The sequence below is a fragment of the Homo sapiens genome, chromosome 6 (assembly GCF_000001405.40).
Source record: "Homo sapiens chromosome 6, GRCh38.p14 Primary Assembly".
Lineage (NCBI taxonomy): Eukaryota > Metazoa > Chordata > Mammalia > Primates > Hominidae > Homo > Homo sapiens.
In genome coordinates, this window is record NC_000006.12 from 48,085,802 (window position 1) to 48,112,172 (window position 26,371).

The 26,371-nt window shown below is 36.7% G+C and overlaps 1 protein-coding gene across 4 annotated transcripts in view, besides 4 other annotated features; it reads right to left on the reverse strand.

The window, feature by feature from the left end:
* The window catches only part of PTCHD4 (patched domain containing 4), a 254,525-nt gene extending 229,129 nt beyond the window's left edge, over positions 1-25,396 (reverse strand). For 3 of the 4 annotated variants that reach the window (XM_011514639.3, NM_001384253.1, NM_001410910.1), the window contains exon 1: positions 25,248-25,396. Coding sequence is in view for 1 of the 4 variants with exons in the window: in XM_047418830.1 (XP_047274786.1) it covers positions 16,326-16,384; positions 25,248-25,368 (180 nt within the window). In the remaining 3 variants the exon portion in view is untranslated. Of the gene's footprint in view, positions 1-16,325; positions 16,385-25,247 lie in introns of all 4 variants that reach the window. The other variant, XM_047418830.1, reaches the window with a different exon arrangement.
* Positions 24,870-25,371: an enhancer, noted in NCBI's record as "NANOG-H3K27ac hESC enhancer chr6:48078407-48078908 (GRCh37/hg19 assembly coordinates)". NCBI's record gives its function as "activates a minimal SCP1, AML or CMV promoter by ChIP-STARR-seq in primed H9 embryonic stem cells {active_cell/tissue: H9 hESC(primed)}" and the evidence as "EXISTENCE:reporter gene assay evidence [ECO:0000049][PMID:30033119]".
* Positions 24,870-26,120: a biological region, named in NCBI's record as "MED14-independent group 3 enhancer GRCh37_chr6:48078458-48079657".
* Positions 24,921-26,120: an enhancer, noted in NCBI's record as "MED14-independent group 3 enhancer chr6:48078458-48079657 (GRCh37/hg19 assembly coordinates)". NCBI's record gives its function as "activates an origin of replication core promoter dependent on BRD2, BRD4, P300/CBP and CDK7 cofactors, and independent of MED14, by STARR-seq in HCT116 cells {active_cell/tissue: HCT116}" and the evidence as "EXISTENCE:reporter gene assay evidence [ECO:0000049][PMID:35650434]".
* Positions 25,372-25,871: an enhancer, noted in NCBI's record as "NANOG-H3K27ac hESC enhancer chr6:48078909-48079408 (GRCh37/hg19 assembly coordinates)". NCBI's record gives its function as "activates a minimal SCP1, AML or CMV promoter by ChIP-STARR-seq in primed H9 embryonic stem cells {active_cell/tissue: H9 hESC(primed)}" and the evidence as "EXISTENCE:reporter gene assay evidence [ECO:0000049][PMID:30033119]".

Sequence of the window (26,371 nt, forward strand, 5' to 3'; positions counted from 1 at the left end):
TTTTTTTCAGATTGCTGTTTATCTATGAGTTAGGGATGTGATGCGTGCTTAGTCTGGTAATGGCAATATTTTATTCTTTTAGCTGAGCTATCGTGTCATTGCTTAAAAAACAAACTTTTTTTCATCTAATTTGACAATGAAAGAATCCACACTCCATTGTACTATAAGACTGCAACGTTCAGAGTCTAATATTTTTTGGTTTTGACATGACCTGTAACAATAATTAAAAAAAAAAGTGGTACAGCAATATTCACAGCATCCGAAATGTTGTAGAATTATAATTGTGTCACTATGATTTACAGTGGACCAAAGAGCAGTGCAAAGCAATAAGAGTGCAAAATATGGTCTGTGTCACATACTCGACTCTGATGTAGTGGTGTGAAAGCAGCCACTGACAATGTGTAAACAAATGAGCAGCGTTATGTCCTAATAAAAGTTTAATTATGGACACTAACACTTGCATTTCATACAGTTTTCACTTGCACAAAATTATTATTCTTTTCTTATATTCTTACCTTGACAATTTAAAGAAGAAGACCCCATTCTTAGTTCATTATTTATAAATAAACAGGCAGCAGTCTGAATCTGGCCTTTGGGCTGTAGGTGGCAGACTCCTGCACTAGAAGAATATTCTTTAATAAAAGTCTAGTATCCATCAAAAAAAAAAATCAAAAAAATTCAAATACAAGGAAATATTACCAATTTCTGTTTTTTTTTCCCTAATATATATCAATGAAAAATAGCAGGGCAGAACAGGGATTGTGGAGGCAAAAAGGAGAAGATATACTCACTTATTTTTCAGAGCAAGTCTGCTTACAAATGAACTAAACATTTTGTGTCTATGAGTAGGAGACAGTAGAATGATGTAAATAAAAAGTGGCGTTTGCATTTTTCCCCTTAGCTTTTCTTATTTTCATGGGGGAAAAAGACTCAGACTTATAAAGTTATAAAGTGAGTATGTGTATCAAGGAAAACATCCAATATGTAGAAAGAAATGAAACAATTCCACCTTGAGGCTCTATGGTTGCTATGTATTTTTTAATCACCCCACAAATGTTAATATCTGTCCTACCACTTTTGTTATTCTTGTTCTTTTCTAAATGGGTGAATAAGAATCTTTTCACGTTAATAATGCCTTTAGTTACTATTTTTTTCAAAATTATATATTAAATATAAAGGAACTGTTTGTTCCAAAGTAGGCTTTCAGCAGAGTTAGAGAAGCCTAGCACTTAAAACACTGACATGGTAGACACAGAGACTGCTGCCAATTCCACTCCTATCACCTACCCACCAATCCTCCCCTCTTTTCTATGCCTATGTCTTTGTCTGTGCAGTAATGTGACATGGCATTTGTTTCAGGACAGGTCTAGCCTCAGCCCAGAAAAATGTGAAATGGATTTAATGTTAACTCTTTGTGACCATCTTTCAGTTTTTTTCTCCTCTGGTCTGTCCAGTTTCTTCTGATCTATCCAGTATCTTCAGTCTATCCAGTATTTTCAGCAGCTCCAACACTCTGAGTCTTATATTTAGTAGTTGTTTTTTCCTCTATGACTATAACTAATATCTTTATGCTTTTAAGCAATAAAATAACAAATTTCATAAACAAAATTGTCTACTAATATAAGTTACTAATAAGGAATTATAATGTAATAATGATGCTGTTAATATTAATGATGTTAATTATACTAATTTACATTCATGGGGCCCTTACTAAGAGACAGGACCCTTGCATACATTGTCTTATTTAATCTTCAAAATAGTCCTAGGTGGGCAGTAATCATTGTTACAGGGTTCTAGGTAAACTAATTGAAGCTCTAAGAGGATAAATAACTTTCTTAAGGTCTCATAACCACTAGATGGCAGAGCCTGGATTCAAATTCAGAATTATCGTTCTTCAAAGCCTGCATATTTATTTTAAATAGGAAGCTGACAAAGCAAATGGAAAAAGTCATACCTATCTAAAAGAATTAACCTACTGTTGTGTGAACTCTCCTTTCCTTCAGCTCTCAGTTTTGAGTTAGGCCAGTAAGACAAGGGTCAGTCATTTTATCTATGTATATTTAGTCTTAATGGAACAATTATATGGTGGTCCTTAAGCAGTTAGATTTTAGTTAAATCATGTAGTATACAGAACATGTTGACATAAAAACAACTAACTTATCAGTAAGAATATTAATGTTATTTAAAAATATATAACCCAATTGGCTGCAGTAAAGTAAGACTGTAGCCATAATTTTATTTCAAAAATCAAAATAAAATTTTAAGTGGGCATGCTAGGTTACAAGACCATCAATAAGGGAACTCAGGATCATAGATTCCTTGCCATTTCCCATAAGTTTTATAAGGTAGCATGTAGTGTTTTGTTGATCTGATAAAACACAAAGCAATATTCTTTGTGTTTTTTAGAGGTCTCATTTGACAGCCTTTTAGTGTGCCCCGTTTGGAAGGGTGGGTCCCCTAAATCAGAACTGATTAATTTTTCTCTCTTAACATAATTTAGATGCTCAACAAATAGGTTGATTTGGTTTAAGGAAATCTAATGAAAATCCTAAGTTCTTAAATGGGTAAGTGATTTGTAGTTTACAATATTTCCTTTCTTCATAAAAAGCAATTGACCTTTTGGGCTCCGTTTAATGACTGTCAACTGATAGTGTTAAAGACGACTATGGAATAGAGCAAACAAAAGCTGTGCATAAAATGAATGCTCCTAAATTTGGATGATTGTGTAAATGTGAAAGTTATTGAAGGTGACTTATCTCTTAAAAGCTGTGATATGAAAATCAGCAAAAATCCAGCTAAGTCTGACAAATCTTGTAGGAATACCATTAAGCATTCGATGAACTAAAACGCTGTGGTTTTAGTGCAGTGAAAATTTACATGTTTCACACAGTCAGAATTAGCTCTCTTTTCTCCTGTCACATAAGCTTTGCCCAAATCTCTAGTTTAAAGGAATGGGGGATGGCCAGGTGCAGTAGCTCACTCCTGTAATCCCAGCGCTCTGGGAGGCCGAGGCGGGTGGATTACCTGAGGTCAGGAGTTCGAGACCAGCCTGGCCAACCTGGTAAAACCCTGTCTCTCCTAAAAATACAAAAAATTAGCTGAGTGTGGTGGCGGGCGCCTGTAATGCAGGTTACTCAGGAGACTGGGGCAAGAGAATCGCTTGAACCCAGGAGGCGGAGGTTGCATTGAGCCAAAAATCACACCATTGCACTCCAGCCTAGGCAGCAAGAGTGAAGCTCCATCTCAAAACAAATAAATAAATAAATAGGAATGGGGGTAATCATTACTATGATGCAAGCTTTCCTATGTTGAAGACAGAGGTACACCAGTGCCATAATGGAGTGAGATCAGTAGCAGCAAGGGCAGAAATTTCCAAAAGACTAATAGCAATTAAATAGTAGTGATAGCAGAAGAATTTACCATGTCTGTATTCTAAAGCAGACATGGTTTTAGGAATAATCTAAGTATTCTTTATTTAATACTTTCCATAATATTGAACTCTGAGACTCTGGGAAATTATGATCACAAATTAAGTAGTGGAATAGGTTGAAATCCTGTTATTCTGTCTCTGTGGGATAAAGAAGAATCACAATAGCGATAACCACACAGAAATTTTTGTTTTAACAGATTTTAGTGATAGATAATAAAATCTTAACACATGTTAATGCATTTAGTCATATAGTCATTGTAAAGACAACTAATAACCATATTCAGATATGTACGATTAGAGACCAACAATGAATCTTTTGAAAACTAATGTATAGATTATTGTTTTAATTTTAACCTTTATTGACCCGTTATTGAATTGCAATCTTGTATATGATTTTGTAGTTTTTTGTTCTTAAACGTCAATCCACTTAATCAGCTCTTTAAATAGTATTTGATATCTCACAAAGCCAGTTGAGCAAAACCTATTCATTGTGAAAGCATTCAATGTATTTATCAATTGCATTTGAAATTCTTATTCCCAAAGTTGTGAATCACAATTTTATGTCCCATGTGTGTCTCATCTTATGCCTACCTTAATGATTAGGGCTTGCCATTTGTCCACATTCTGCACTACCTGTAATTACTTTGCCTCTTTTAAAAATTCTATTCTTTTCTTTCTTTCGTATTTTCCATCTGCCTTCTTTGATTCAGAAGTCTCTTTTAGTTGAAGACTCAATTTGATTTTATTTTTAAATGTTCATCACTGTTCTATATAGTTTCTCAGAACTATTTCTCCAGTTTCAGTCCTTATCACTAGATGTAGACTATGCAATATATATTAGTTCTTAACATAATATCTGATACAGTTAATTCAGAATCTACAGTGTTATACAAATTTATTATTGTCTGTTTAAAGTTCAGAGTAGGTGATGCATTTAGTGTTAGAAATTCCAAAATTAATTATGAAAAATATTAAGTAAATATGCATTCAGAAATGCATGCAATTATTATAGTCACTGCATATCTACTATATATTGTGTCAATATTTTTAGATTAACATTTGTCATTTTTACATGATCATTGGATTTGTCTGGAGGGAACGTCATTCTCAGGGAAGCCTATGAAAACATTGCCCCTCCATAGTAAATAGCTGCTATCTGCCGAACATTTTACTTAAGTAATGGATAGTTAACTTATATTGTTTCTAATGCTCACAACAACACTGTCAAGCAGATATTTTTGGTGCCATTTTGCAGCAGAATCATAGAGGTTATTCTGTCAATATCTGTGCCAGGATTTTAACTGAGACCTGCCTAATTCCAAAGCCTATGATTTTTTCTACACTAGGCTGGAAAAAAAAATCTCAGAAGGGGTAAAATAACTGTTTCACGAGAAAACCAGGGTATAAAGGGCTTCTGAATCCCCTGAAATCACCGTGCATGGGGCTGGCCATTCAATAATGCAGACAATACATCATAATGTAGAATGCGCATTGGTAGGCAGCTGGGCTCCATAAATGTTCAAATCATTAAAAGAAGACACATGTAATATTCATCAACAGTTTCACTTCAGTCTTGATTTGATTGCTTCATTCATGACAGATGTAAAGTCACAATAGCACGTTCAGTCATCCTTTAAAAGAGCATGCTCCCACATTATTTAAATAGAGTCCATTTTTTTACAACTTTAATTTGTGGCAAAGTTTTCAGTTTCACACTTACAAACAAGTGTGAACCTGAAATCGCTTTTTCTATTAAATTTTATTTGAAAATTTTATTTGAAAATTTCACAGTAAGCAATTTCTGATAACTTACATCTACTTCTGGGTTGATGGTCACCAATAGCAAGGTAAACCTTGGCAAAATTATCATCATTTAGGATTACTGATGTGAGGAAACATACAGATTAACAAAAATCATTATATGTTAGTATGCATTAGGCACTCATTTTAACCTTTTAAATTTTTTATGGCTTTTACTCTTCTTAACCTAAAACAAAAAGCATAATTATTGTCATTGTTGAGTGGCTAGTAAAGGTAATAATAATAAAAAATAATAATAAAATAATAAAAATGAATAAAAATGAAATTATAAAAGGAATGCTCATAGTAGTAGTATTCAAAATATGGACCTCAATCAAATACATGGGAGCTTGTTAGATAGATATTTAGGCCCCACCCAGACCTTCTGAATCAGAATCTCTGCAAAATTAGAATTTCTTCAGGTAATTCTGAAGCATGCTAAAGGTAGAGCACTGCTATTTAATATGTGGTCCTCAGACTGGTAGCATCAGCATCACCTGAGTACAGAACTTTGGACCACACCCAAGGTCTATTGAAGCAGATATTATACTTTCTTTTTCTTTTCTGTTTTCTTTCCTTCCTTCCCTCCCTCCCTCCCTCCCTTCCTCTTTCTTTCTCTCTTTCTTTCTTTTTTGGATGGAGTCTCGCTTTGTTGCCCAGGATGGAGTGTAGTGGCACAATCTCGGCTCACTGCAATCTCCACTCCTGGGTTCAAGTGAGTCTCCTGCCTTAGACTCCTGAGTAGCTGGGATTAAAGGCCCGTGCCACCATGCCCAGCTAATTTTTTTTTGTATTTTTAGTAGAGACGGGGTTTTGCCATGTTGGCTAGGCTGGTCTCGAACTCCTGACCTCTGATGATCCACCTGCCTCGGGCTCCCAAAGTGCTAGCATTACAGGCATGAGCCACCACGAGAAATTCTATTTTCTAAGATGCCCAGATTAAGAGTACACACATACACATACACACACACACATACACACACACACATACACACACACAATAAAGACCTAGATAAAATTTCACGAGACAACTTACTCTAATATATTTCATACATCTGTCTTCTGTCCTAAATTTGTTGGGGTTCATCTACCCTGAACAAAAATGATTCTCTGAGTTCAGTGGTTTTAATTCTAATTTTCCCATTCCATATTTGGAAAATGAAACCCAGGGAGAAATTAAAATAGGAATCCACTGATGAGATAAGCCTATTAGCCATGGTTCCTTTATTATCCCTAGATGGTGTGGAAGAATTCATAACAGCTCTTGCAGTGTTAATTTACAATATCTTCTCCACTGGCCTTACCAAATACTAAACTATCTATTTTTTATTTTGCATTTAAACATTGAAGCATTTTGTCAATATGCAGCTAGGGGATCCATCGGCCAGTATTGAGAGGTATTAAGATGAGAGAATATTAAGATAATAAGCTGTGGTGAAATAACTACTGGTTATGAGCCATAGACCTGGTATTCAGTCCTGGACTAACTATGTATTAATTATAATTTTTGATAGCTCATTGACTACTCTCAGGCAAAATGAGAAAAATCAAATTAATAATTTATAAATGGTCTTGACATCTTAATCAATGATTGGATAATCACTTTAGTTACTTAGGTAGCCAAAATGGGGGTACCAAACAGGTTTGCTGTGATAGGGCAGAAAGGGTCAGGACAGGACAGGTTTAGCATAAAACGTCATGGGGAATACACTGTGCAAGCAGATACACAGGAATGTCACCAACTCCCCTTCCCTAGCATGGGAATGGGTCTCAGTGAGGCCACCAAGGCAAGATCCTTTCATGAACACTTCTCTGTAAGCACTAGTTTTTGCACGAACATATTATCAGTATATCATGTTATCATGTATCATGGTCTTGTTTGAATTTTAGGAATGTCTGTGCTCTCCACTCACTATGATTTCTGGCTCCCTCTGTGGAATTCTTTTTATTCTCTTTTACTATCTGGGGCTGTGTTGGGCACAGGCAGTGCTGGGGATGCCACTGACAGCAGCTATCCCCAGGCACAACAGACTTCCCTGGCATGCTTCGCTTGATAAAAATAGTTTTTGGCACTAGTATAAAACCTTTCATCTTTGAGTCTTAAATTATTTTAAAAGCATTAATTCTTGCAGGATTCCTGCAAGGCACATATTTTAGAGTCACAGATTTATAGAGACTTGAAGATAAAAGGAACTTCAGAGATCATCTACTTCAAACCCCTTCATTTTTCAGGTGAAGAATTGAAATCCCCAAAAGGTGAAGTGACTTGCCCAAGCAGTTCTCTTTTTAAAAATGTGAATTCAGGACAGTTAGGTGAATCACTCCAAGCCATAGAATGCATTTTAAAGTATTATAGAAATTAAACTTTTTAAATTTTATTTCCTAACTTTGGGGGAAAGTTAACTGTTTTTTCTTTTTTTGCAAGCAGGACAAAGGTATTGGGGACTATGCAGAGGTGGATTTGTAAAATGATGTGTTAATAATGGGTGATAATTTAAAATAGATCAAAGTAGTATACCATTAAACAGAAGAAATAATATTGCTTCTCCTCATGTAATTTCAAGGTATAGGATGGGAGAAATTGCTGGAAAAGAATTTTTATTAAATCTGACAACCTCCCTGCCCACTTTTAATCTTTAATCACCTCTTACTACATTGTCACCCCTTTTCCCCACCTTCATATATTAATTAACTATAACTTTAAAGGAAGAAAAAAATGGCGAGGAAAAGAAGGAAATTGACTATAAAGAAACCTACTGGTCCATGAATAGGGATGATGGGAAGGTCACCATGGAAGCTTTTACATCTCCTTTGAGAAGGGAGAATTACACTGAAGCTGCTGAAATAATATTTATTGACCATCCCATGAGGGCAAGGCATTTTCACAGATTCAAAGCTGTCATTTGAGAGCTTGCAAGAAACAAGAAAATAGTCTTATGCAAACTTCATCCTACCACGAAATTAATGACATAAAATGTGTAATAGGGGTGCATATGAATTGTTATGGGAACACATAGAAAAGAGGCATAGATTTAAAATGGATGTATTTCAGAAGATTTAGACGAAATTCAAAGTGATTCTAGAAAAAATGGTTGGTAAAAATCGGACTGAAAGAGAAAGGGCGTTTCAGATAAAAAGGAATGTATTCTACCAGTAGCATCCTATTCTTTCTTTCTCTGAAAAATAAAGGCACAAAAAAGAAAGTTACAGGGATGAATGACAGTATTATGGCACAACCAGAGGACTAATTTGTGAAGAAATAATGCGAGGAAATGAAGATATGAATCACGAGTGGTAACGATGAGAAGAATCCACTTGAGGGAACTTGTTTGGAGAATTTTGGGATAATTTTCTGCTGGGTTGATAGATAAGGGGAAGAAAGAGGATACAGGGTTACATTACAGATAAAATGAAGAAACATTGAGATCAATTAGAAAATAAGGAAGTCTGCAAAGGCCCCACTGAATGCTGTGTAATACAATCAACTGAGAGCAGCACTGACAGAACATTAGAAGATATATGGATTTGACCGAGTCAAGAAATAACTTTCCCTCTGTAAATACTTGAGGATAGCTTTTCAAATCCTTCCTTTCCAAGATATGTGATTGAATAAAGAAGATTATATCTCAAAGGACAATACAATGAAAGAAATGTGACTGATGGCCTAAGAATATAAGGAAGAGTTGGGGTAACATGATAAATGTGAGTAAATATAATGATATTTTAAGATAACAGATAAATATGGTTTCTCTTCCTTGAAATCTCAGCAGGTTAGAGGAAGAAGTGACTTTAAGGATTATTGTTGATATGTGTAACAGAATATATGAGTCTCAAAATAATTAAATTGAGTGAAAAATGGCAAACCAAACAATAAGAGTACATACTGTATGATTCTACTTATGTAAAACTCTAGAAAAAGCAAAATAATAGGTAGAGAGAGAAAATACTTCAATGCAAGCACTGTCATTTTGGGGACAGGGTAGTATAGATTATAAAGATGTAGGACAGATTATAAATGGACATGAGAAAATTTTCGGGGATTGTGGACATGTTCATTATCTTGATGTGTTGATAGTTTCATAGAGGTATATATGTGTCAAAACTTACCAAATTGTGTACTTTATACGTGTCTGTTTCCTTACTGCCAATTATAAAGTATAATTTCACATGTATACAGTGTACCTAAAGTTTTTTAAAGAAATAATATGTATAAATGAAAATCCATTTACACTAAAAATGTATAGTTGTCTTGGCAAATATTTCCTTGGATTGCACCTACGAAGATATACCTGTCTGACATAGGATATCTCTTCTCCTTGTGGAACAGGAAAACTTATTCCATAGTGATCTTCTTTTAAAAAAGAAATATAGGTCAGGCGCTGTGGCTCACGCCTGTAATCCCAGCACTTTGGGAAGCCAAGGCGGGCGGATCTTGAGGTCAGGAGATCGAAACCACTCTGGCTAACACGGTGAAACCCCGTCTCTACTAAAAATACAAAAAAAATTAACCGGGTGTGGCGTGGCGGGGGGTGACTGTAGTCCCAGTTATTCGGGAGGCTGAGGCAGGAGAATGGCTGAACCCGGGAGGCAGAGCTTGCACTGAGCCAAGATTGCGCCACTGCACTCCAGCCTAGGCTACAGAGCAAGACTCCGTCTCAAAAACAAACAAACAAAAACAAAAACAAACAAACAAAAGGAACCAAAAAAAAAAAAAAACAAATATAACTGTTGTGTTTCTATGAAACGAAGATGTGAGTGAAATTCATTGGTAGAGAGCAAAAGGCAGTGCATCAGTTGTCAGGATGCCTGCTCTCTGATGTCAGCTAGGGCTTTGATTTACTCTGTGATTTTGGAACCTAACCTCATATTATCATCTAAATAATGAGAATTAAAACATTTATGCCACACCTCACACATTTAAAAAAAAAGACAAATTTACTTGGACATATTCACAATATTTTTGTTGGTACTGTGCCAGGCTATGGGGAAGCAATGATGAATAGGATATGGTCTCTTCTCTAGAAGCTTCTGATAGATATTAATAGATAGGCAGACAAATCAATTATAGATAACCTAAATTTTATAATAATTTTATGAGAAGAATACAGTAGAAGTGCAGAGGAGGAAGGAACTAATTATCTGAGGGTGGAGGAAGTGACATTTCAATTAGTTCTTGAAGAAAAAATCATTCAGCAGATAGAGAAAGGAGGATAGAGATTGAATGTGGAAGAAATCGGCAAAGGCACAGACACATAAGGGGACACAGTAAATGGGGATGTCTTGAAATTCCTTGTGCATGGCATGGCGTGGTGGCTCACAACTGTAATCCCAGCATTTTAGGAGGCCGAGGTTGGCAGATAACCTGAGGTCAGGAGTTCAAGACCAGCCTGGACGAAATGGTAAAACCCCATCTTTACTAAAAATACAAAAATTAGCTGGGCGTGGTGGCGGGCGCCTGTAATCCCAGCTACTCAGGAGGCTGAGGCAGGAGAATCACTTGAACCCAGGAGGCAGAAGTTGCAGTGAGCCGAGATGGTGCCACTGCACTCCAGCCTGGGCAACAGAGCAAGACTCTGCCTAAAAAAAAAAAAAAAAGAAATAAAGAAATTCATTGTGCCATTGTGCTTGAAGAAGAAACTAAATGTGGGATGGAGTTGAAAGATGAATCTGAAGACAGCAACAGCATGGGGCAATATTGTGATGGGCCTTCTATGCTACCTTGGAGAATTTAAACGTAAGGGAACCACAAGAATTCTTTTGCATTGAAGTATATAATCAATACAAAACTAGAATAAATATATATTGCATTAGACAAGTAAGAATTAATACACTAGAATAATCAATGTAAAAAGAATGCATTGATTATTTGACTGTTTCAACTGAAAATTTTGTAGTTATATACACAAATATTGATATAGGAATAAAACCAAAAATGACCATAATTTTATTTCTTGTTAAAATAATTTTTGCAATGTAAATCTAGGTAAACTTATGACAAACAGTTAAGTAATAATTATATTTCTTTGTTACTTAATTTAAACATTTAATATTAACGTATTACCATAGATCAAAAACTCTTTTCTTAGAAAACTATTGACTAAATTTAGCTTCCACTTAGAGAATAAAAGCTTATAAAATTTAAATGTGCTTGAGAAAGACAAGCATAATTTAAAAAATAATGGTTATTAATAGTTTTAATTTAAAATATAACAAAGAAATACAAAAATAATTAACAGATCTTTTTATTGTTAAGATGTGGAAATTCATCTTGTATATGACAGATATAATGCTTAACAGTTTTATGTCACTTAGTTTAATCCTTATGAAAATCTCCTAAAAGAGGCATCATTATCCCATCTGAAAGACAAGGAAATTGAAACTCAAGAAGTGTAGATCATACCACAGATAAATTATAGATTTGGAATTTAAATGCAAATCTAAAGAATTCCAAGTAGCATGCTCATTTTTTTTACAATTAATAAATCACTAAGAACAGTCAATAATAGAGTAAGAAATATTTCGGGGTGTTATCCAACCTGCCTCTATAAAGTTCACTTTGGGTCTTTGAATTATTTAAATCAGCAAGGTTTCACTGACCAATTACTCTATGTCTAGCATCTTAGAAATAAGAAGGACAAAGCCCCTGTCTTCTGAGGACTTATAATATAGACAAGAAGATAGGCCCTTATTAGGAAGCTATTATAAGAACAAACAGAGAGATATAGTACAGTTTAGGTTTGCTGTAGGAAGAAAAAAATCAAAGCCATCATAAATACAGAAGTTAAGTTCAGTCCATCTGCAAATAGTAACAGCTCACCTTTCTGAATATATGTGAAATAGGATGAGTCTGGCCAAGCCTTGCAGCAAGAATGAGAGGGTACAGGTGTCCCTTAACATCAATTTCAGAAAGAGAAGGTAGTAGAAAGCAGAGACTAGGTCGCTTCCATCAGTTAAGTTCTTGATTAGTAGTTGAGTTCCTGTACATCACCTACCTGTCAGGTCTCACGGCCTCAGTAAGAAGGGCCCATATCCCTTTTTAGTGTTGCCAGCCACAATCACCCAAACTGGCATTCCTGGACATCAGGAAAAGCCCAGGAGCAAAAAACCCCTGAAGATACCTTCAAGCATCATTAATGTCATGGTTTCCCAACACAAAACAACTGCAACAAGGAGAACTGAAGTTCCGATGCAAGGTGCAAAGTAGCAAACACAGGAGTTACTTGAACTTCAAAGAAAAAAAATGAGATAAGTCAAGGATGGAGAAAAGTAACTGGAATTTCTTTTCTTTTCTTCTTCTTCTTCTTCTTCTTCTTTTTTTTTTTTTTGAGAGAGAGTCTCGCTCTGTTGCCTAGGCTGGAGTGCAGTGGCAGGATCTCCGCTCGCTGCAACCTCCACCTCCCAGGTTCAAGTGATTCTCCCACCTCAGCCTCCTGAGTAGCTGGGATTACAGGTGCTCACCACCATGCCTGGCTAATTTTTGTATTTTTAGTAGAGGCAGGGTTTCACCATGTTGGCCAGGATGGCCTCGAACTCCTGACCTCAACTGATCCACTCACCTGAGCCTCCCAAAGTGCTGGGATTACAGGCGTGGGCCACTGCACCTGCCTGGAGTTTCATGATTATGAAATTGATGTTTTTCTTGCCATGATTATGCTTATGTTTGGTAATATCTATTACCGCTTAGTGCTTGCAGAAAGAGACTAATCTTAACAAAAATATTTTCTTGGTCTTGTTAACTCCAGAGATGTCCCCATCCTGTTTGAGTAGCTATGGGTAAAAGGAGATTCAAATAATGGAAATAAGAATTATCATCAAATATAAGCTATAATTAAAAATTGAAAGTAAAATTAAGTATTATACCAAAAAAGGGGCCATTTGAAATTGCTCCATACACAGCATATTGTATCTTAATTTTTTTTTGAAGACTTAAGTACCTAGACACAGATTCCTTAAAATGACAAGCTCAGAACCTCTACAGTAATTTGTTTCATATTAAATAACATTTCAGCTATTTTTGTCTGGAATTGCTATGACAAAGAAGCTTATTTATCTTCCTTTCATTTGAGAAGCTGCTTCCTTCCTGGCAGTAATGAGGTTGGCAGAGCTGGTGTGGACCTGATCCAGATTACTAATGCACACTTGGAGAGGGCTTTTCAAACTGCAGCATCTCCAAATAGTGGTCGCCAGCCTGCACAATTCCAGCCCTTAAAGGGATACCTGCTTCCAGGGCCAGCAGTTGCTAGCGTGCTGGACAGGTGGTAACGGGCCTTGAAGAAGCAGGCCATCTAGCCACTTTAGGAATTTCTGTTCTAGAACTTGGTATCATTGCTGTTTGCACTTCCTGCCTCACAGAAGATACTCAAATCTGCTTGCTTCTTTTGTCCTCCATAAGCTGGGTACAGGATATTAATTCCACAGGATAACAGCAACATGAGAGACGCAGATGAGAGACAGGCTAGCTGAAAAGGAAAGCCTTTGAAATGGAAATATAGAATATAAATCCTAGGAATATTCTCTGATTATTTCAGAATCCAGGAAAAAACTTACCTTCAGCCATATTTTTCTCGTGATCCTACAAGCAATGTACTTGTGGATTTGTAGCAATGGGGAAATAATTACGATATGAGGTTTAGAATGCAGCATCTATAGGGTCAGTCTGTCACTGCCTCACTGCATGTCTGAAGCAAACTCCTTGGCCTCCCTGAGCTTCTAGGCTATGCTGTGAATGGAGCTTTCTGAATTAGGTGTTTTGATGCAGAAGTTAAAACTGAATTTGTTTATGCAGAGATTTAATGAACACCAGAATTTTTAGGTGCATGTTTACTATGCAAACAAATGTCTACCGTAAGTAGATTTTCTGCAGATAACCTCATTGGAAATTCCCCATAAGCAATTTCAGTTACTGGCCATATTAATGAAACTGAACACCACATGCTGGGTTGATAATTTTCCACAGCATGGCAAATCCAGAAAACATTACTATTATTGAAATGTAACAGGACAGGAAGAGTATAGTGAAAGCAAATAATTACTGGCACATATCTCATAAAATTGAAAACAATATGAACCTGTTACAATTCAGGTGATATCAACATGGTAGGTGGATGTGAGTGGATGTGCATAAGGAGATGTGAAACAAGTTGAAGTTTCTGTTGCATTTGGAACTGCATCTAGATACTTAAACCAATCAAGATATATGTAGAAAAATAGGTATATCTTCAAATATGTATTAAATTTTAATGTAAGTCACTAAGATAATGAATATGGATTGTAAAATGTCTAAACAGTAGAGTAAACAAGATTGACCCAGAATCAATGAGGCCTCCTGAAAATGTGATGTCGTCCCTTGCAATATAATTCCTTCCCTTATTCTCCCATTAACAGAACCTCTCTTTTCAGTCATGATGACTCAATTCCCAAGCAACAGTAACTGTTCTAACGTGATCAAAACCAAGTTCATCTGAATCCTTTCCTGCAATTTTGTTTTACTGAGGAAAAAATGAAAAGAACTCTTTCATCCCACAGGATTTAGAATTATAAGAATATGAGCCTAAAGCCATCACTATTCAAGTAGGAGCTGCAAGAATAAGAAGCCTGAGAAAATGATGACAATAAAGAGAGGAAGATAAGCTTGGCGACAGGAAGGTGGAGAGATTACTCTGATGCTATTTAAGCCCTGATATTCTGTCGACACGGAGGGTCACTTTCCTCTCATTGTTCTGTGTGTTTCTTGCTTCAGCCTTCACATAAACACATATACATTTTTTTCTTATATTATTTTGAGTCGTGCATCTACCACTTGGGATAGAGAATCCTGACCAAAACCTCAAGAGAACAACTTAGGTAACAAAATTACATGGTAAACAAATAACCTAAAATGTTTTACCATGTTTGTTTCATTATGTCAAAATAATTTTAAAAAATAATAAGCAATTTAAAAATACATAAAAAGTAATCAAAATAAATATGGAGGTATAAATTTTTCTATGACAGAGATAACATTGGATTGAATTTAAAAAGTTAAACAGAAAAAAGAAAAAAGAAAAAAGGAAAAAAGAAACCAGAATAAGAACAAATAGACAACCCAAGTTACTAAATGGTATTTTTAAGAGACACATCCCAAACAAAATGATACACTGTTTAAAAATGTAGGATGGAAAAAAAATATCTAGTAAAATTTATTTTAAAAATGGCTGTGGCAACAGTGATATAATTAAAAAATAGAATTCAATGTGAAGATCAATTATTTGGGTAAAGAGGCCTATTTTATTATGACACAAAGTCCCTTTTACTAGGAACTTATAAAACAGTTAGGAGTCTTTATTCTCCTAGCTGTAACAGTTTAACATATGCTAAAGCAAACCCAGTGAACTATATAAGGACTAGTAGGTAAAGACATAACCATAATAGGGGATGTTAACACTTCCTCTCAGAAATCATCAGGTCAAGCCAATATAACTATAATGGGAACAAACATGACTCATGGGATGTAGTCATAAAGTGATTCTAGTTTTGCTTCTCATTGTCTTTTACAGTTGATGAGTGGAGATATTTCTTCCCCTTTTCCCTGTTCAGGTAAACTGGGTAGCCTCACGATTTATTATAAATTAATAATTCCTGTTCATTCATTTACTAGAGTCTCAATTCAGCCCCTAAAATGTCCAGTCCTATGTCATCATCAAAGAATCTAACCTTGATTTCAGGCATATCCCCCTTTCCCTTGTAGGTCCTACTGTGGACAAACAACAAAAGAAAGGAAGCTGATTGGCTTCCCCTCTTTTTCCTCCCCTAATTCTTTTACTCCTTCTCTCCTTCTAGCTAATCAGGTCCTCTAATTAGCTGGTGCGGTTGGATGAAGGGATTGGGAGAGAGATGATGCTGCCTCTCTATGAAGGTCTGGTCAATGGAAATTACAAGTCTTTTTCCCAATAAACTGTGGAAGAACAGCTTCCCACCAAACTTCAGGTCATGATTTTGCTGCCACAAAACCACTACAGCCTGCTGCATGTTCATTTCTTAGTCTAGACTCAGACCCCAGGCTACCAATACTGTCCTTCTAACTGCAGGGAATACAGGTTAAACTCCTAGTCATTACCTCAAATCCCATTTCCAGTGATGTGGAGCTGGGATGTAGCAAACTCCTCACTCTTCTTCCTTGTAGGAGAGAGACAGTGGTTGTGATTCTTCAGCAAAGTTCAATCCAGAGAAATCCTCTTCCACAATTTTTACCAAATGAAACTCCTGACCCTTTAATAGCCTAGATGTGAGTGAGGAACTTAACAGTTGCCTAAAGTCTTACAAATATCTGATTGAAAATTATTCTTTATAGGGTTATCTTACCCTGAGATGTAATTTCTAGTGTTCTCGAGTTTCAGCCAAAACGTCCATTTTAACCTCATCCTATTATATAAGTAAAAATGAAAAGCATTTTAAAAACTATTCTTGAGGGTGGAGCCAAGATGGCCAAATAGGAACAGCTCCAGTCTACAGTTCCCAGCGTGAGCGATGCAGAAGACGGGTGATTTCTGCATTTCCAACTGAGGTACCGGGTTCATCTCACAGGGGAGTGCCGGACAGTGGGTGCAGGACAGTGGGTGCAGTGCACCATGCGTGAGCCGAAGCAGGGCGAGGCATCGCCTCACCTGGGAAGTGCAAGGAATTCTCTTTCCTAGTCAAAGAAAGGGGTGACAGACGGCACCTGGAAAATCGGGTCACTCCCACCCTAATACTGCACTCTTCAAACAGGCTTAACAAACGACACACCAGGAGATTACATCCCGCACATGGCTCGGAGGGTCCTATGCCCACAGAGCCTAGCTCATTGCTAGCACAGCAGTCTGAGATCAAACTGCAAGGCGGCAGTGAGGCTGGGGGAGGGGTGCCCACCATTGCTCAGGCTCGAGTAGGTAAACAAAGTGGCCAGGAAGCTCAAACTGGGTGGAGCCCACCACAGCTCAAAGGGGCCTGCCTGCCTCTGTAGGCTCCACCTCTGGGGGCAGGGCACAGACAAACAAAAGACAGCAATAACCTCTGCAGTCTTAAATGTCCCTGTCTGATAGCTTTGAAGAGAGTAGTGGTTCTCCCAGCATGCAGCTTGAGATCTGAGAATGAGCAGAGTGCCTCCTCAAGTGGGTCCCTGACCCACGAGTAGCCTAACTGGGAGACACCCCCCAGTAGGGGCAGACTGACACCTCACACGGCCGGGTACTCCTCTGAGACAAAAATTCCAGAGGAATGATCAGGCAGCAGCATTTGCGGTTCACCAATATCCGCTGTTCTGCAGCTACTGCTGCTGATACCCAGGCAAACAGGGTCTGCAGTGGACCTCCAGTAAACTCCAACAGACCTGCAGCTGAGGGTCCTGACTGTTAGAAGGAAAACTAAAAAACAGAAAGGACATCCACACCAAAAATCCATCTGTACGTCACCATCATCAAAGACCAAAGGTAGATAAAACCACAAAGATGGGAAAAAACAGCAGAAAAACCAGAAACTCTAAAAATCAGAGCGCCTCTCCTCCTCCAAAGGAACGCAGCTCCTCACCAGGAATGGAACAAAGCTGGATGGAGAATGACTTTGACGAGTTGAGAGAGGAAGGCTTCAGAAGATCAAACTACTCCGAGCTAAAGGAGGAAGTTCTAACCAATGGCAAAGAAGTTAAAAACTTTGAAAAAAAAATTAGATGAATGGCTAACTAGAATAAGCAATGCAGAGAAGTACTTAAAGGAACTGATGGAGCTGAAAACCAAGGCACCAGAACTACGTGATGAATGCACAAGCCTCAGTAACTGATGCGATCAACTGGAAGAAAGGGTATCAGCGATGGAAGATGAAATGAATGAAATGAAGTGTGAAGAGAAGTTTAGAGGAAAAAGAATAAAAAGAAACAAACAAAGCCTCCAAGAAATATGGGACTATGTGAAAAGACCAAATCTACGTCTAATTGGTGTACCTGAAAGTGACAGGGAGAATGGAACCAAGTTGGAAAACACTCTGCAGGATATTATCCAGGAGAACTTCCCCAATCTAGCAAGGCAGGCCAACATTCAAATTCGGGAAATACAGAGAATGCCACAAAGATACTCCTCGAGAAGAGCAACTCCAAGACACGTAATTGTCAGATTCACCAAAGTTGAAGTGAAGGAAAAAATGTTAAGGGCAGCCAGAGAGAAAGGTCGGGTTACCCACAAAGGGAAGCCCATCAGACTAACAGCTGATCTCTCGGCAGAAACTCTACAAGCCAGAAGAGAGTGGAGGCCAATATTCAACATTCTTAAAGAAAAGAATTTTCAAGCTAGAATTTCATTTCCAGCCAAACTAAGCTTCATAAGTGAAGGAGAAATAAAATACTTTACAGACAAGCAAATGCTGAGAGATTTTGTCACCACCAGGCCTGCCCTAAAAGAGCTCCTGAAGGAAGCACTAAACATGGAAAGGAACAACCGGTACCAGCCAGTGCAAAAACATGCCAAATTGTAAAGACCATCAAGGCTAGGAAGAAACTGCACCAACTAATGAGCAAACTAACCAGCTAACATCATAATGATAGGATCAAATTCACACATAACAATACTAACCTTAAATGTAAATGGGCTAAATGCTCCAATTAAAAGGCACAGATTGGCAAATTGGATAAAGAGTCAAGACCCATCAGTGTGCTGTATTCAGGAAACCTATCTCATGTGCAGAGACACACATAGGCTAAAAATAAAGGAATGGAGTAAGATCTACCAAGCAAACGGAAAAGAAAAAAAGGCAGGGGTTGCAATCCTAGTCTCGGATAAAACAGACTTTAAACCAACAAAGATCAAAAGAGACAAAGAAGGCCATTACATAATGGTAAAGGGATCAATTCAACAAGAAGAACTAACTATCCTAAATATATATGCACCCAATACAGGAGCACCCAGATTCATAAAGCAAGTCCTTACAGACCAACAAAGAGACTTAGATTCCCACACAATAATAATGGGAGACTTTAACAGCCCACTGTCAATATTAGACAGATCAATGAGACAGAAAGTTAACAAGGATATCCAGGAATTGAACTCAGCTCTGCACCAAGCAGACCTAATAGACATCTACAGAACTCTCCACCCCAAATCAACAGAATATACATTCTTTTCAGCACCACACCACACCTATTCCAAAATTGACCACATAGTTGGAAGTAAACCACTCCTCAGCACATGTAAAAGATCAGAAATTATGACAAACTGTCTCTCAGACCACAGTGCAATCAAACTAGAACTCAGGATTAAGAAACTCACTCAAAACTGCTCAACTACATGGAAACTGAACAACCTGCTCCTGAATGACTACTGGGTACACGAAATGAAGGCAGAAATAAAGATGTTCTTTGAAACCAATGAGAACAAAGGCACAACATACCAGAATCTCTGGGACACTTTAAAAACAGTGCATAGAGGGAAATTTATAGCACTAAATACCCACAAGAGAAAGCAGGAAAGATCTAAAATTGACACCCTAACATCACAATTAAAAGAACTAGCGAAGCAAGAGCAAACACATTCAAAAGCTAGCAGAAGGCAAGAAATAACTAAGATCAGAGCAGAACTGAAGGAAATAGAGACAAAAAAAACCCTTCAAAAAATCAATGAATCCAGGAGCTGGTTTTTTGAGAAGATCAACAAAATTGATAGACCGCTAGCAAGACTAATAAAGAAGAAAAGAGAGAAGAATCAAAGAGACGCAATAAAAAATGACAAAGGGGATATCACCACCGATCCCACAGAAATACAAACTACCATCAGAGAATACTATAAACACCTCTATGCAAATAAACTAGAAAATCTAGAAGAAATGGATAAATTCCTTGACACATACACTCTCCCAAGACTAAACCAGGAAGAAGTTGAATCTCTGAAGAGACCAATAGCAAGCTCTGAAATTGAGGCAATAATTAAGAGCTTACCAACCAAAAAAAAGTCCAGGACAAGATGGATTCACAGCCAAATTCTACCATAGGTAGAAGGAGGAGCTGGTACCGTTCCTTCTGAAACTATTCCAATGAATAGAAAATGAGAGAATCCTCCCTAACTCATTTTATGAGGCCAGCATCATCCTGATACCAAAGCCGGGCAGAGACGCAACAAAAAAAGAGAATTTTAGACCAATATCCTTGATGAACATTGATGCAAAAATCCTCAATAAAATACTGGCAAACCGCATCCAGCAACACATCAAAAAGCTTATCCACCATGATCAAGTGGGCTTCATCCCTGGGATGCAAGCCTGGTTCAACATACGAAAATCAATAGACGTAATCCAGCATATAAACAGAAACAAAGACACAAACCACATGATTATCTCAATAGATGCAGAAAAGACCTTTGACAAAATTCAACAATGCTTCACGCTAAAAATTCTCAATAAATTAGGTATTGATAAGACGTATCTCAAAATAATAAGAGCTATCTATGACAAACCCACAGCCAATATCATACTGAATGGACAAAAACTGGAAGCATTCCCTTTGAAAACTGGCACAAGACAGGGATGCCCTCTCTCACCACTCCTATTCAATATAGTGTTGGAAGTTCTGGCCAGGGCAATCAGGCAGGAGAAGGAAATAAAGGGCATTCAATTAGGAAAAGAGGAAGTCAAATTGTTCCTGTTTGCAGATGACATGATTGAATGTCTAGAAAACCCCATTGTCTCAGCCCAAAATCTCCTTAAGCTGATAAGCAACTTCAGCAGTCTCAGGATACAAAATCAATGTGCAAAAATCACAAGGATTCTTATACATCAATAACAGACAAACAGAGAGCCAAATGATGAGTTGAACTCCCATTCACAATTGCTTCAAAAGAATAAAATACCTAGGAATCCAACTTACAAGGGGCATGAAGGACCTCTTCAAGGGGAACTACAAACGACTGCTCAATGAAATAAAAGAGTATACAAACAAATGGAAGAACATTCCATGCTCGTGGGTAGGAAGAATCAATATCGTGAAAATAGCCATACTGCCCAAGGTAATTTATAGATTCAATGCCATCCCCATCAAGCTACCAATGACTTTCTGCACAGAATTGGAAAAAACTACTTTAAAGTTCATATGGAACCAAAAAAGAGCCCACATCACCAAGTCAATCCTAAGCCAAAAGAACAAAGCTGGAGGCATCATGCTACCTGACTTCAAACTATACTACAAGGCTACAGTAACCAAAACAGCATGGTACTCGTACCAAAACAGAGATATAGACCAATGGAACAGAACAGAGCCCTCAGAAATAATGCTGCATATCTACAACTATCTGATCTTTGACAAACCTGACAAAAACAAGCAATGGGGAAAGGATTCCCTATTTAATAAATGCTGCTGGGAAAACTGGCTAGCCATATGTAGAAAGCTGAAATGGATCCCTTCCTTACACCTTATACAAAAATTAATTCAAGATGTATTAAAGACTTAAATGTTAGACCTAAAACCATAAAAACCCTAGAAGAAAACCTAGGCAATACCATTCAGGACATAGGCATGGGCAAGGACTTCATGTCTAAAACACCAAAAGCAATGGCAACAAAAGCCAAAATTGACAAATGGGATCTAATTAAACTAAAGAGCTTCTGCACAGCAAAAGAAACCACCATCAGAGTGAACAGGAAACCTACAGAATGGGAGAAAATTTTTGCAACCTACTCATCTGACAAAGGGCTAATATCCAGAATCTACAATGAACTCAAACAAATTTATAAGAAAAAAACAAACAACCCCGTCAAAAAGTGGGCAAAGGATATGAACAGACACTTCTCAAAAGAAGACATTTATGCAGCCAAAAAACACATGAAAAAATGTTCATCATCACTGGCCATCAGAGAAATACAAATCAAAACCACAATGCGATACCATCTCACACCAGTTAGAATGGAGATCATTAAAAAGTCAGGAAACAACAGGTGCTGGAGAGGATGTGGAGAAATAGGAACACTTTTACACTGTTGGTGGGACTGTAAACTAGTTCAACCATTGTGGAAGTCAGTGTGGCGATTCCTCAGGGATCTAGAACTAGAAATACGATTTGACCCAGCCATCCTATTACTGGGCATATACCCAAAGGATTATAAATCATGCTGCTATAAATACACATGCACATGTACGTTTATTGCAGCACTATTCACAATAGCAAAGACTTGGAACCAACCCAAATGTCCAACAATGATGGACTGGATTAAGAAAATGTGACACATATACACCATGGAATACTATGCAGCCATAAAAAATGATGAGTTCATGTCCTTTGTAGGGACATGGATGAAGCTGGAAACCATCATTCTCAGCAAACTATCGCAAGGACAAAAAAACCAAACACCGCATGTTCTCACTCATAGGTGGGAATTGAACAATGAGAACACATGGACACAGGAAGGGGAACATCACACACCAGGGACTGTTGTGGGGTGGGGGGAGCGGGGAGGGATAGCATTAGGAGGTATACCTAATGCTAAATGATGAGTTAATGGGTGCAGCACACCAACATGGCACATGTATACATATGTAACAAACCTGCACGTTGTGCATATGTATCCTAAAATTTAAAGTATAATAATAATAAAAAAATAAATAAATAAAAATAAAAACTATTCTTTTACTATCTTTCCCTCCAAGTTGATTCTGGGAGAAACAATTATAGCCTTATCTGCAATGAAAAGTATCAATAATAGATTAAACCTTTAATTAGAGATGTTGAAAATAATTCCAAGAATATAGAGAGAACGAATATAAACAATGATAAATCTAGGCTTCATAATACAGAGAACAACAACAACAGAAAGCTAAAAGATGAATTTTTGGAAAACATTAATAAACAAAATATTAAAAATGCTAGCAAGTCTGATTAATGGGAAAAAAGACAATTCACTAATAACATTATGAAAAAGAAACAGGACATAATTACAGATGTTGAGAAAATGAAAAATAAGATAACATTATGTGCAAATTTATGGTGATATATTTAAAAATTTAAATGAAATAATCATTTTCTAGGACAACAAAAGTGACAAAAGTGTCTGGGAAAATGAAGTAAAATACCTTAACAAACTAAAAACAACTAAAAAAACTTCAAAGTAGTACTGTTTTAAATGACATCTGCTTATTTTGTGAATTCAAATCATCTTGTAAGGGACTTATGAGTTGTCTAATAATTCTTTTTATTTAAGCTGTTTCAAAGCAAAGAATAAAGATAAAAGTTTCCTTATTCATCACAAGGCTACTATAACACCAGTACCACAAGACTGTCATAAAAACCTAATAGCCCAATGTCATATATGAACATACAACTTTTTAAAATCATCAAATTAAATTTCTTACTGTATTAAAAAAGTAGTAAAACATAACCAAGTATTTATCTTAAGACGACAAATACCGTTCATCATTTAAACATTATTTTAGTGAGACCTGGAACTATGAAATTCCTGGAAGAAAACATAGGGCCTTGACAATGAGTTTTTTGTATATCACACCAAAATATCAGGCAAAAAAGGCAAAAATAAACAAGTGGGACTACATCAAACTAAAAAGCTCCTTCAGAGTAAAGGAAACAATCAATGAAATGAGAAGGCAGCCTACAAATTGGGAGAAAATATTTGCAAGCTATATATCTGATAAGGGATTAATATCCAAAATCTATAAGAAACTCATGCTACTCAACATAAACAACAACAAAACCCCAAAAAACAAAACCACAAATAACCAGATTTTAAAATGAGCACAGGACCTGCATAGGCTTTTTTTCCAAAGAAAACATACAAGTCGCCAAAAGGTATGTAAAAATTCGTCAACATCATTAATCATCAGGGAAATAAAAATCAAAACCACTATGAAATATTTCCTCACACCTATTGGGATGGCTATTATTTTAAAAATAAAACTTAAAAAGAGAGAAAAAAAACAACAACCAAGTGATAGGTATTGGTGAGAGTGTGGAGAAAAGAGAGCCCTTGTATACAACTGTTGGAAATGTAAACTGGTAAAGCCAGTTTAACACAGCACGGAGGTTCCTTAAAAGTTAAACACAGAACTACCATATGATACAGCAATTCCACCACTGAGTATGTTTCAAAAGGAAAATGAAATCAGCGTGTCCAAGAGATATTTGTACTACCACGCTTATTGCAGCATTATTTACAATAGCCAAAACATAGAATCAACTTAAATATCTATTAACACATGAATGGATTTTAAAATGTGGTATGTGTATACACACACACAATTAAATACTATTTAGTCTTTGGAAAGATAGAGATTCTGACATTTGTGACAACATAGATGAACCTGAAGGACACTTTGCTAAGTGAAATAAGCCAGACATTGAAAGAAATAAACTACCCTGCATAATCTCACTTACACACAGATTTTTTTAAAAAATAGAATACATAAAAGAAACAGAGTAGAACAGTGGTTACAAAGGGTGAGGTGAGAGGAGGGAGGGGAAGGAAATATGTAGGTCAAAAATTACAGAGTTGCAGTTATATAGGATGAATAAGTCTAGAGATCAAATGTATAGCATCAGAATCATAGTTAATAATATTGTATTGTATACTGAAAATTTGCTGAGTAGAGTCCAGATGGTTTTACCACACACACACACACACACACACACACACATACACACACAAGGTAACTGTGAAGTGATAGATATTAATAGGTAGATGGATTTATTAGGTTGTTTGTTCTTAAAGTAACATTTAAAAATATACTGTGGTTAGTAATCTTTTCTATTTTATATATATATATAAATATATATATATATATATAATATTTTTATCTTTACAAATATGTTCTCCCAATCTGGTACTTGTCTTTTTACTTTACTTAAGATGCCTCTCATTCTGCAGAACATTTTAATATTCACTGAGTTAAAATTAAACCTTTAATAAAGGTTTACAGAATGACCCTTCTACACATGCATTGTTCACTGTTCTGTGATTGCCCCTCTATATCCTTTCTCTGTCCTGCTCTTATTGCTTGGAGGCTGATGTGGGGTTCCCTTACCTTCTGGCTTTCGGTTTGGATTGGCGCATGGAGGCAACAACAGAATTGGAGAGTGAGAGGGGATTTCTTTTATTTCTTCTCTGCTACTTCTCTGCCATACTGTGGTTGGTAGTGGCTGCATCCCTCTACCGATGGCCAGACTTCTCACTGGGCAAGTCTGGGCAAGCCTCCCATGACCACAGCATTCACTGGAATCCAGTAACAAAGAACATCCTCTCCTTGTTTTCTCAGGCTGAGAGGTGGTAATTGCTTTCTTCCTTTGCCAATACCTGGGTATTTCACCATCTTTTGCTGGTTCCCTTCAACCTGCCCAAAAGTGTTTCCTGTTGAAATCACAAGTGATATGTAAACTGTACAATACCATGCAGCTATTAAATAGTGTGATGCAGAACTATATATGTACCAACATGAAAACAATTGCACAATACATGTGTTTGCTTTTTAACAATCCAAATACCCACATATGTATCATTTATCCATAATAATCACGATTTGCCATGTTTTAGTTCAATGCTATTTCCACCATTTAGACATTTCAAATCCATAGTGCACTATAATAAAAAAGGTATATAATACATACTTGAACAATTCATTGGTTTAAAAAGAGCTTTAACTGTCAAAACATATGAACAAATGATAATCCTAGATGACCTATGTCATTCCTGCAGCAATACTGTGACGTCAATGCAACCCCTTTTTCAGGTTCCACATCCTCTGCCTATATAACAAAGAACCAGGATTCCATGGCAACACAAACTGGCCAGCTGCAGCACCTTACCAAGCATCATGCCCTATATATAGCACAATAGCATCATGAACTATAATTTCTTCAATTATTATAGCACATTGGTTTATAAATTGAGGATCAAAACACATACTAAAATTTTAGAAAGTTATGGTGTTTAGATGCTCAGATAATATATCTTCTGCTATTTTAAATGACAACATCACTATAAAGTGATATTGAAACATAAAAGTAAAAATGACAACCACCTCTGGGTATGGAATTGGGATTGTTGTGGGCACAGGGGAAATTTATCTTTTCATTTTCTAAACTTCTGTATTAATTTTCCAGTAAATCCATATTCATTTTCTTGTTATATAAATACATTTAAATAAAATTT